The following is a 12,788-nucleotide window of genomic DNA, read 5'->3' as shown; positions in this document are numbered from 1 at the left end:
CCACCAAACACACAATGTAATCAGCTATACTGAATTTCCCCAGTTCTTTAAAAACATCGATCTCCTTTTTCTTTCTTCATACTTGTTCCCTTTTGTTCTAACTTCGAAGAATCCTTCAGAAATTGACTCAAGCATATTGTCCTCAGAGAGGTTTTTCTTGACCGTCCTCCAATCCAGGCCGGCTCAAGGGACCCACTGAATCTTCACACAGCACTCTGCTTCCCCATCATGGCTCTAACCACACTTCTCTAATTGCCTATTTACTTCTGTCAGTTGCTGTGAGGACAGCGCCCATATAAGTCGTGTTCACCTCTGTATTTGCAGCACCTAGTACAGTGCACGGCCCATGGCGGTCTTTCAGGAAACATATCTAAAATGCATGTAAATGAATGAAGTAGCAGTGCTATAGGACTAGGCCTGGGTGGGATTTAGGTGTTCCCAGAGGGGCCTGAGCTGACACTGATCTGAGAAGTGCCTCGGGCTTCTAACACTCTTTCTGCTGGGATAACTGCGGTTGGGGCTAGGTTGGGGAGGCCGTAAACCATTCCTGACACTGAATGAGAACCAAACTAGTCTCCAGGGAAGAGAGAAGAGGAAATATAGCATTTTGTTGGGAAATTTTTCCTCAGTAAGTTCACTCTGGGTCATTTAGTTCTTTATGCCCAAAAAAGTTAACACACCCATCAGTAACAGTGAGTGCTCTGATCTTAAATTTGTTTAAAATCAGGACAGGGATGACTGCATATAACAAAAGAAGGTGAGTCACAAGAAATCCAGTGTTATTAAGAAAATATATGCCGGGCACGGTGGCTTACACCTGTAATCCCAGAACTTTGGGAGGCCAAGGCAGGCGGATCACGAGGTCGGGAGACTGAGACCATCCTGGCCAACATGGTGAAACCCCATCTCTACTAAAAATACAAAAATTAGCTGGGCATAGTGGCACGTGCCTGTAATCCCAGCTACTTGGAGGTTGAGGCAGGAGAATCACTTGAACCACAGAGTCAGAGGTTGCAGTGAGCCAAGATCACACCACCGCACTCTAGCCCGGTAATAGAGCGAGCCTCCGTCTAAAAAAAAAAAAAAAAAAAAGCAATAACACTTTATAAACATTGTGATATTTATTTTCATTTTCAGCATTAACAGAGGTGACAAATATTACGTGTCCATTTTTCTGAACCTATAGCTAAAGCCATCTTTTCCAGAGAAAGAATGAAATTTTTAAAATATTTGAGAAAGAAATCTCCAAATGCTAAAGAAACCTCTGTATAGGAAAGGAAGTTACTCACACATCTACAAAGGAAGAAGAGATGGGGAAGAAACTCTGGAGGTGCTGAATAGCTCTAGTACATTTTGATTGAGGTCTAGACTAGAGAAACTAGCCTAAAATTACAGTAGGACATATTAGGTTAGACAGCAGAGGAAGAGATCAAGAGATCCAACTCTCTCTCTCTCTCTCACACACACACACACACACTCACACACTCACCCCTCACACACATTAGCAGATTGTTGTATACTGAGTTTGTTTAAAAGACAGGGGTATATCCAGGCTACTTTTTCCAAGGCAACTTTAAACATTAAATGACAGATGTTTTTCTTCCTCTAGCAGTTCCTTTTGTAAAAGGAGGGGACTCTACACTTTTAGATTTCTCTTGTTTGGAACCTTGTCAGCATTGCTTTGCCCATTTCAAGAAAATGTTTTCAGAAATTGTGAACATCGCTGATAACATCAGTTCCCTCATCAGAAAAGCAATCAAGCTGGTGTGCATGCACTCTGGATGGTATATGGGGGTGGTCACTGGGAATGGTAGGCCTCTTCCTTGTTATTATGTGTTACTAACCAGAATTTGGGAAATATATTTGACTATAAATTCTTGATATCAAATCTGCCAGCACCAGCCAGAGATAGGAATAATAGATATCAAGTTAAAGGCAGATTTAAGTGACTGTAGTTTAGGCAAGCACTTGCTAAAAGTTAGGGCAGGGGTCCCCAACCCCCAGGCCCCAGACCAGTACCAGTCCATGGTCTATTAGGAACTGGGCCGCACAGCAGGAGGTGAGCAGCGGGCAGGTGAGTGAGTGAAGCTTCATCGGTATTTACAGCTGATCCCCATCGCTGGCATTACCGCCTGAGCTCCACCTCCTGTCAGATAAGCAGCAGCATTTGATTCTCACAGGGGCATGAATCCTACTGTGAACTGTGCATGTGAGGGATCTAGGTTGTGTGCTCCTTATTTTTGTTGCTGATGTTGTTTAGTGTGGGCTGGGGGTGGGGCGGAGGGGAAAGGACAAGTGTTCTAGCTGGGAGCACCCTCCGGGCATGGAACACAGGTCCTACCTGGAAAGGTCTAAGATTCTCTCATCTGTCCTCCTATGGTGTATTAAGCACCACAGCTGCAGGAGATCAGAATTTTACTGTTTAATTATTTAATGCTGGTTTTCTTACAGCCTACCCTGTATCTCCAGTTTTAGTTCCTATTATTATAAGTTTTTCTGGCCTAGTCCCTGAACCTTTAGAACTTAAATTTCTCTCTGGCTCTTGGCCTGTAGTATGACACGAATTTTCGTATTTGTTTTTCTCTCTACGTGTGTTAGCAAAATTGAAGTTTTGAATAAAAGTGTTGCCAAATGATAAAATGTATGGTTGTCAAATATTTATCTATAAGTCTTTTCCTTTATTAAAATAAAAACTCAATTCGTGATTACTGTAGAAAGTTGGAAGCATAAAACAGTCCAATAACCAGTTGTTTGAAAAGCTAAGGGAAAGCCAGTTGTGTTTTGCTGGTGGCAAAATTGAAGGTGCACTGATTCTGGAATAAGAAAACACGGGTTCAAATAGAGGTTCTGCAGTTGCCTGGCTTCGCGGTCTTTAATATGTCAGTAAAATTGAGGCAAAAATTAAATGCCTTACTCTGAAAAGGCATGCATGCGGGAGGGCCCACACAAAGTAGCCACCCAGTAAAAGGTTAAGAGACTTGCACTGAATAATGAGAAAATGGGCGATTAGAGTTTTTAATATGCCTGCACATTTTCTCTCTGTTCTGACCCCACTTCATGACATACAGCAAATCTTAAAAAGAGAGAAAAGAAAAAGAAATAAAGGGAAAAAGAGTATATCGATCTGATATTGCTTTAAGGCCTTTAGAATAGTGATACTTTATATCGAAAGATTGAACCATTTTTATGAAAACTCAAAACACTTCCTTCCCTCCGAGCACTGTGCCTCCACCCCTAGAGGGCAGCATGCCCCCAAAGAAATTCACCCAGGGCCCAATTAGAATCCATCTAAATGGCCAATTACCTTCAATTGAATTATTTCTCATCGACTTTAAAAATAACCCTTGAAACTCATTAGGCACACTATCCAGAATTTAAGGGAGTGTTACCTGCACTTTCTAATGACTCCCTCAGAAGCATGTTTTATTGAGACTGTCAAATAAATAAAGTGCCCAGGAAATTAAGAAACCTGGTGACCAGGCATCGCCTTTGTGGAAGGACCTCTACTCAGGAGGAAGCCCCTGCTGGTTTCCCACATGAGGCCGCTCCTTTGAAAGTGATTTTCTGCCACAACCTCTCCTCTTCCAACTCTCCTCAGAGCTCAGAAGTGACAAGGTGAGAGCTAGAGGTCCTTGCTCTTCCTCATCCCACCCACCTGCCTCCTTCACGTCCCTTCATTCCTGGCCCGTTAGGTTAAGGGCGCTTAAGGCACTTGAGCCTGGGCTCTTACCCACTGTTCTTTTGTTTCTAGAATTAGCTTTCACTTTCCTTCACTAACACCTTCATCACTGCCTCATACATAATGGAGAAAACACAGGCCTCACCCACTTTCAGACCCCAAATCCTCCCAATGATATGATGAGGCCCACTGCACACAATGCTTCACAGGCTCTCCAGCCCAGCAGCTCTCAAGCATTTGGGGCACATAGCACTGGCATTTTACACCCAAGTCTCCATGCCGCCTCCTCAGTGTCTTTCTGTCTTCAGGAGCTCTGAGTTGCAATCCAGGCCCAGCTGCTAATCAGAGCCTCGTGGTTCTAATATGCAAAATGAAAGAGGATGCCAGCTGCCTTCACCCAAGTTCTAGAGAGGCAGATAGGGATTAACAGTCACTTTGATGCCACAGTCATCTTGGAGAAAAGATGACACAATTTCTTCTATTCATAGAGACACATCAGTGAGGTTTCTAAACTCATTCTGGTTTGATTTTTGGATTTCTAGTGATTTTTTTCTCAAAAAATATGGGGTTTGGGTGGATAAAACAGTTTTCATCTATGTATGGGATGTTGTCAAAACAGGACACTAGAGTTGTTTTTGTTTTAATGAAAAATAACACTTCCAATATTGAAAGGCAGTATCCATTAATTCAATCGAACATTATTTCATAAGCAAATATGTTTGAAAAAATTAGCAAGTAAATGCATAAATAAATTACCTACATTGAAAGCTGATACTGGCAGATATGATAACATGTTTCCTGCTAACTAGTTTACATTTCTTTTGAAGTGAATTTCTGGCTGACAGTGTTCATGTCACAGATGCTATCCTCACCTGCTTCATTAAGGCCTGTTTAGAATACAGTTCTAATGTAGGTTTTATTCCATGTAAAGCCACCTAGAGATAATTTTAAATGATGATATCGACTAACAAACACGTAATCAAGAAGCTCTTAAAAATTTATTAAAATTCAGGTCTTTCACCATTAGCAAACCTGCTTCATTAACATATTAATAGATAATGTTCCTGCTCATAATTAGCGTGTATTTTCTTTGCATCATTGTAGTTGAAAGAATTCAGGTGGGGTTTGATAGAAAAGTTTTTTTTATCTCTGCCAACAAAGCACCTGGGAGAATAACCGAAGCTCCTGACCACCCATTTCCATTTTAATCATCCGCTTCCTTCCTCCCACATAGTTTTTCTCCTTAAGCTCAGTTTTATTTATTTACCCCATATTCAGCCTTCTGTGAATTACAGACATGTTAAGCCATGGACTACCTGCAAGTGAACAAGGATTTGGCCTACTTACTGACGGATGAATGCTAACTGCAAGAGAAACTCCAGGTGTAAAAATATTTTCATCCAGAGGTTGAGAAAAGCTGGAATCTGAAAACTGAAAATAAGCTCATCTTTTTCTTCAAAATAATTAAAAATCTTACTTGTTCCATGAGAGTGTATTGAATATAGAATATAGTCTATGTCACGTTTTTATGAAAAGAGTGATGTCCATTTCAAGGAATGATGTTTTACAGAGAGGAATAATTGAGGGATCTGCCTAAGGAGGCTTTTGTTTTTGTTTTTGGAGTGACCACAAAATGAGAGTAAGTCTATAACTGAGGTCTTTGGAATAAAGCTACAGGGTTATTTTGAAATATTCTCACTGCAGTGATATACTACTGGTAACTTATTAGCAATAAAGAATGGAATTGGTACTATCCCTTAAGATAAAAGGGAAAATAATATTTATACTAAAAATAGCGATTATCTTCTAATGTGGTCTAAACTGCCAGCCAATTGTGTTGACCACTGCCATTTTGGAGCAACACAATTCTGTGACTTTAGAGCACGTCTTGACATGAGGCAGAAGCCTCCCACATGCTCTAGCATACTGGAACCTCTTGGATGGGTCAGAGATTAGTTTTACTTACAAGGAGCACACACAACAGTCCTGCTGCACTGTGGGTATGGGTTCAAGTGTTTGAGGTCTTAGAGAACATCTAATTGCCCACTTATTTCATGCAGGAGCAAATGCAGGCCCAGAGAAGTCCAACAACATTCTCTAGAGCTCTCAGTTCGTTAGGCGTAGAGTTGAGGATGGCATTAAGGCCTTCTGATTTTTTTTAAACCATATCTCTTTCTTAAAATTTGCCAGCCCTGATTTTCTCAATAAGAGAAGAATTGAAATTATATCTATGAATTATTAAAATATAGTGATACAACGTGCTGGTTGTGAGGGAAAAATAAGCTGAATATGATCACAAAGAACATTGTCATCATCCACCCAGGATACCACCTGGATAAAGGGAGGATTCAGTTACAGTACAGGAGAGATACTGCCTCTTTGTCCTTTTAACACTGTGATCCCGAAATGCTATTTCTACATTTGTGAGTTAACAGAACTTAGTGTAACATATCCACTTGAACTTTTTGCAGTGGTGGAAATGTTAGATATCCGTATTAGCCAATACTGGAGCCAATAGCCACATGTGGCTTTGAGCATTTAAAATGTGGCTAGGGCAGCCAAAGAACTAAATTTTTAATTTTATTTAATCTTAGCTAATTTACATTTAGATAGCTGCATGGGGCTAGTGGCTATTCTATTGGACCTCACAGATTCAGCATAGCCTGTTGGAAGAGCTATTATAAATTCAGATAATGTCAGTGAGCTAGAGACCTCTGGTGGAGGGGACTGTTACCTGCAAGACGCTGAGCACAACTTTTTTTTTTTTTTTTTTTTTTTTTTTTTTAAGACGCAAACATTTCAAGATTGGTCACACATTTTAATACCAACACCACTGCTTAATGTGACATGCAAATTCTCTAGGCAGTAAGGGATGGAATAACAAAGAATGCAGAGACTAACTATTATATTGATTAATATTTGCTGTGGTGATACCAAGTTTCTGTTACTAGGTTTAACAGGACCCTAGAAGGATAGTTTAACTAGAAGGATAGCTATATTGTGGTTCTCTGGCACGAGAAATGGAATGTCCCAGGTCCCCAGGCAGATCTAGAAGCATTCTTTGTGATGGGAGATAGTCTCAAGCTGTATCAATTAAGAGGTGATGTAGCTTGGCGGAAGTCTGCACCAAGTTCAAGACAATGGCTGTTTGAGCACGTTGCTAGAAAACAAATGCCAGTGCTGTTTCCACCTCCTCGCCGACACACAACCACATACGGTTGCCTCCATAAAGCTAAGGTAACCTGTTGCTCTTAAGGTAGGTTAAAAAGAGAGATTTGGGGCCTTTTTACCCCTCTTAAGTAGCGCTCCCTACAATGGAGTTCACCGATGTATTGGGTTCCTTTCTGACCCTACTGTTTTCCACATCGCTTGTTATACTCTCCAGGAAATTTGAGGCCTCCTTTTTCCTTCTCTGGTAATTCTTACCTCTTCTCAAATTTATCTTTGCTTGGCTTCAATCCTGCTTCCATGACTGAAAGCTACAAAAGTGCCTAAGACAGAGATTGCTAGCTGGCTTTAATAGTTGTCAAAAGTAATAGAACTAATTTTTAGCTAGCATTTTCTAAATGTAAACTACTTAAAATAATGCTCAATATATGCTGGTTATTATTATTCGTGAGAATTAGAAATATCTTATATAGCCAAGTTCGTCATTTATGGCTTCTGAATTTCTGGCTTATGTAAGTTCCCACGTACATTAAAGGGATCCAAATGTCTTCCTAAAGACCCATGGATGGTTTGGCTACACATTTAGAAAATCAGTGACACTCTATTAAATATGATTGGAATTAATAACTTAAATTGGAAAAGTAGCTAGATATAAAATTTTAAAGAAAATATACTAATCAGCCAGGCATGGTGGCTCTTGCCTGTAAATCCCAGCACTTTGGGCAGCCAAGATGGGAGGATTGCTTGAAGCCAGGAGTTTGAGATCAGCCTGGGCAACATAGTGAGATACTGTCTCTACAAAAATTTTTTTAAAAACTTAGTTGGACATAGTGATGCACACCTGTAGTCCCCAGCTACTTAGGAGGCTGAGGTGGGAGGATCCCTTGAGCCCAGGAGGTTGAGGCTGCTGTGAGGCATGATCGCACCACTGTAATCCAGCCTGGGCCACAGAGTGAGACCCTGTCTCACAACCAGACTTACTGGTTGTGTGATCTTGGGCAAGTTACTCAGGCTTTCCGATTGTGGTCTCTTCCTTTATAAAATGTGTATAATAGCAATCACTTCAAAGAACTGTATGAGAATCAAACAACACAGCAAATAAGCCACCAGGCAGTTGGAAGAGTCTCAGGAACTAATCATGGTACATGCCATGATTAACAGTAAAACAAATGGATGATGTTACAAGGCAGTTATAAATAACACAGAATCAGGCACCAATATTTGGATTAGAACCAAACTTATTACTTCCTAACCTTAACCTTAAAACATATACGTGGCCAGGCACAGTGGCTCATGCCTGTAATCCCAGCACTTTTGGGAGGCCGAGGCAGGTGGATCACCTGAGGTCAGCAGTACGAGACCAGCCTGGCCAACACAGTGAAACCCTGCCTTTACTAAAACTACCAAAAAAAAAATTAGCTGGGTGTGGTGGCCGGCACCTATAATCCCAGCTACTCGGGAGGCTGAGGCAGGAGAATCGCTTGAACCCAGGAGGCAGAGGTTGCAGTGAGCCGAGATCATGCCATTGCACTCCAACCTGGGCGGCAAGAGCAAAACTCTGTCTCAAAAACAACAACAACAAAAAACCATAAACACAACAACTCTTATTTTCAGTTTCCTTGTCTATAAAATGGAAATATTTATCTCTGTGTACTTCAAGGGATTATTTTGAAACTCAAATAAGATAATATTCCTTGAGGTACACTGAAGTTTTAAGTCCCAAACGCTTGGTTTACAATTTTAAATAAATATTAAGAAAATGCTGATTGACAACAAGGATTTTTCTTTCTGATTTGCCTTGACAGTTTAAGGTTGAAAATGACTTTATACCATGAGAGGACCTTTCAGCTTAAAAAATGGTATGAAGTTGAACAATCACGTCAATGTTTTACTCTTTCCTCTTGCCTGGGAATGGAAGGATGAGAAGATTATACACATTTCAGTGGATGAATGTCAACAGTAAATGGACAAAACTGTCATATGGTGCTTACTTCACATTATTTTTCTTCTGAAACTGGACGTATCTTGCCTCTCTTTTTAAACAGGAATAAGTAAGACAGAGCATGCAGTAGCTTATCAACAAAGTGGTGGTTGACAATTTTTTTCTGTAAAGGTCCAGACAGTAAATATTTTTGACTTTGCAAGACATATAGTTTCTGTCTCTAAGATTCAACTCTGCTATTATAACAACAGCAAACATGGACAACAAACAGATGAGTGGGTGTAACTGTGTCCTAACAAAAGTTTATTTACAAAAACAGACAGAGGTTGGCCTGTGGGCCAGTTTCCCATTACTCACTTAAACACTCGTTGGTTGGCCACTTGGACCTCAAAGGGAGTAAAGATCACTAACCAAGGTTATTAAACTAAGAGAGCAGGGAGAAGTTGAAAATCATAGTGGCAGGGTATTGTTCTCTTTTAGATCCATACAATCTTGGATATTTAGAAATATCAAAATGTGGCAAGATATCTGTAGATTTTTAACTCTCCCCAAAGTTTAGTAACCTTAAATAAATATACTTATCACATTTTAACTGACAAATGAAAAAGGTGGCAGTAATAGAGAGGAAATAATGCACTTTCTAACATGGCTTTTTCCATGTTATTTATGCCATGGTAACTAAGATGAAAATTGGAACATAAATGCTCAGCACAGACTAAAGGATGATCTCATCATGACCAACAAAATCAGGGATATTTTCATCACAATGCTCTAAGAGTTATAAGTATAAATCCCTCTATATCAGGGAAAGAATACATTGAGAGGCATCTTAAACTGAAGAAAATGTAGAGTTCAAGGTGGAGAACTACATCCTTAACTTAGGAAAACTACATCCTTAACTTACTGAGATAAACTGGAATTTTGACAGTATGCTACCACAGAGGGAAAGCGAAATCATTTTGCTAGCACATGGGAATACTAAATATCAATATTGGAATATAACAAGTTGAACTTTGGATAAATTTTTCAGGTTTTATTCTGAATTAATGTGCCTTTGAAAATAAATACATTAACTATCAAATATTACTTAATATGTATTATATCTTATATGAGCACTTCCCACTTTTGTAGTTGTTTGTGTACTAAATTAAGGCTCCTTCAAACTTACATTTACAATTTGATTCTGTTAATTGGACACAAAGAAAGTAAGTTGCTTTTATCACCAAATAATAATGTTAAGAGTCTGCTTCCTGTGCTGTTGTTATTCCTTGATGTTGGCTGAATAAAAGAACAAATATATGTAGGACAGATGTCAGTGGGGTTAGCAGAATATGTACACATTCTGGAATTCTTGCAAAACATTTCAAAGGCCTTTGATACATTTTTTTCCTCATCTTTCATTTGCAAAAAGTAAAATTTACCCTCAAAGTAAAGGACCCGTCACCCATAAGGTGCTGGGTTTTCTGGCAGTATGCACCCTCTCCCATGTGGGTGTCCACAAATCAGCCTATCTCCCATAAGTTTTGCCTTTCACGTCCATCACTGTGGGACCCATGACCATCAAGTTGGCCCTCATCTGGTTATTTTATTCTCTCTCAGGTCAGTCGTGGTGGCTAGCAACCAGATCCTTCTTCCTTAAACGGGCCCTTTTCAGAGCCCACCAAGTGCAAAAAAAAAAAAAAAAAAAAAAAAAGCCAGACGCTTTGTTCAAAAAGCAGGGAAAAGGTGATATTAAATCTACTGAAATATAAAATATTTTTCTTTCTTCCTCAGTCTCTCTCGTCATGATGTTTTATTAGATATTTGATGTTAATATTAGATATTAATTAGATATAATCTAATATATATAATTAGATATAAATATTAGATATTTAATGTCCTCCCTTAGGCCTTAGGGTACTCACTGGGCAAGTGCAGATCCCCACAGATGTGGAGTTGGGGTGGGGAGCACCCCACGACTCAGCATTAGCTGACCATCTACCAGCTGCGCTGGTCTCCGAGTGGGGGCAGGAAAGCCAATCTCCCCTTCCCATGGGCTCCCAGCCCCAAACCAAGTGAATGGACGATCCTGAAAAATTGCAGCTTTCATGCTGAGGACACACTGGGTACCTGAAGGTGGCACGGATGAGAGGCTCACCTCACTAAGTCATCCAGTGAACGAGTCATGGAGTTGCCAGCCCTAGCAGACAGCTGCTGACATTCCCCACCTGAGACACCAAGAGGCAAGTGCCTAATCCCAACCTTCCCTGCAGTGGGTAATGACAAAATCCCCCCCTTCCCTGCTGTACCCCCACTGATGTGGCCAGGTCAAGGGGAGACACAGAACCCCTGGGGGAGGTGGGGAGGTGAAGAGAGGTGAGACCACAAGTGAGCAAAGATCCCAAGCCTCTGGTGCATGCTCCATTGTCCCATCAAAATTCACTTAAATAACACAAATAAAAAATAAAATTGTTAAGAATTTCAAGATGAAGATGACAGAATATGAAATCCCAAGCATGGGGCCCTTTGGAGCCACGGCCTTTAGGACTGCACTGGTGGCAAGCCCTTGAAGCCTACAAAATCTGCTCCATATGCCAGCTTTGCATCCTATTCACCAGCTTGAGAGAGGAAGGTACTTCTAAGTGTTTTTAGCCTGGCCTTTGACCCTGCTGTTTGCTACTTGCTCTTCTAAGAGCAAGGACAATTCATACATGGCTTTAAAAATGATTAAAGTTCAACAGGAAGTGGATTTACAATACAGCAGACCAATCCTGGAATAGCTGAGGATTTTAGCTGCAGTTTGTCTTCAGGACACATAAAGGTACAAGCCAACTCACTGGCTTCAAGGTTGTTTTTATTCAGAAATGCCCAGGTCCTCAATTATTTTATTGCTGCTGCAGCAAATGCTACTACAAATGAGTCAGCAAATGAAGTAAATTGTACTTGTCATAGGCTATAGGCACTTACCATGTATCTTTTGCTAAACTTCTGAATATCTTTTTCCTGTACTAATGAACGGATTGATTCCATGTGATAAACCCTTGTGACACTTGACTTAGCAATAGAGTGTGTTTGAGAGCATCGATCACCAACACTTCAGATTTGGCAGATGTGACTCTGCTCATCCCCAAAGGACACTTCTGTGGACATACAACTTTGGCTGAGGTGACCTGGTCACTCAAATTAGAGTAGCAGCTATAACTTCAGCTAGGCCATGGACTCTGGCTTACCCATCCAGGGCTCTGTTAGAGGTGACCACTGCCACCTCCTCTGGCTTGGTACCTATAAAATAAAATTTGTGCTTCCTGGTACATAAAGGAGTTTTGCTCCTATAAACTGCCACCACTATTCCAGGATTGAGCCCTGAGGATGCACAGGCAACTTCTGTCATAATGAGTGGTTAGTTCATTTATGTTTAAAAAATGGCTATTTTTCTATTTCTCTTTTTGGTTTACAGCTGTGAAACAGTGAAATCATATATAATTCTCTAAATAGTTTATCATTTAAAATATCTAATTAAGTCCAAAGCTTGTCCCAGAAATAAATGGGTTGCTTTGGGAACTAATTAAGTTAGCAACTGGGTTCTGTTTATGTTTTAAAATAAAATATTTTGAAGTTGTTCAAAAAAAGTAATGTGCAAATAAAAGGAATGAAAAAGAAACCCTCTCCTGCGTCCAAGATCTCCCTTAACTGTTAAGGTGCCTAATACCCCCAAATTAACAATCACTTCTTAGAATTAAACACTATCTTTCCCAGCTGCTAAAAATATAAATATCTGTGGGTGGAGTAAAAAAAAAATACTAATTCATTAATATCTTACTGGTGGTTGGCCAGTCACGTCTATTTCCCCCAGGAAAGGACAAAAATGACCTAGGAAGGGCAAACTAAAGCAGGTCAGAGAACGAGAGTGCAGAAAGAAAAAAATGGGAGATGGGGTCATCCCCCAGCAAACTTTGCCCATTATTCTTCCTTTGGTACATTGCGACTACATCTTGTATTAGTTATTGATTCATCACGTTT

At 40.2% G+C, this 12,788-nt stretch overlaps 1 long non-coding RNA gene across 1 annotated transcript in view, besides 1 other annotated feature; it reads right to left on the bottom strand.

Moving 5' to 3' along the window:
* Positions 1-12,788, bottom strand: part of LOC105370453 (uncharacterized) — a 47,558-nt gene that overhangs the window by 12,004 nt on the left and 22,766 nt on the right. The gene's annotated exons all lie outside the window — the stretch shown is intronic.
* Positions 3,578-3,734: a silencer, noted in NCBI's record as "fragment chr14:37025714-37025870 (GRCh37/hg19 assembly coordinates)". NCBI's record gives its function as "represses an EF-1alpha promoter that drives an FKBP-Casp9 reporter gene in an ReSE screen in HepG2 liver carcinoma cells {active_cell/tissue: HepG2}" and the evidence as "EXISTENCE:reporter gene assay evidence [ECO:0000049][PMID:32094911]".

The sequence above is a fragment of the Homo sapiens genome, chromosome 14 (assembly GCF_000001405.40).
Source record: "Homo sapiens chromosome 14, GRCh38.p14 Primary Assembly".
In the NCBI taxonomy this organism is placed as follows: Eukaryota; Metazoa; Chordata; class Mammalia; order Primates; family Hominidae; genus Homo; species Homo sapiens.
This window is presented reverse-complemented; position numbering and strand designations above follow the sequence as displayed.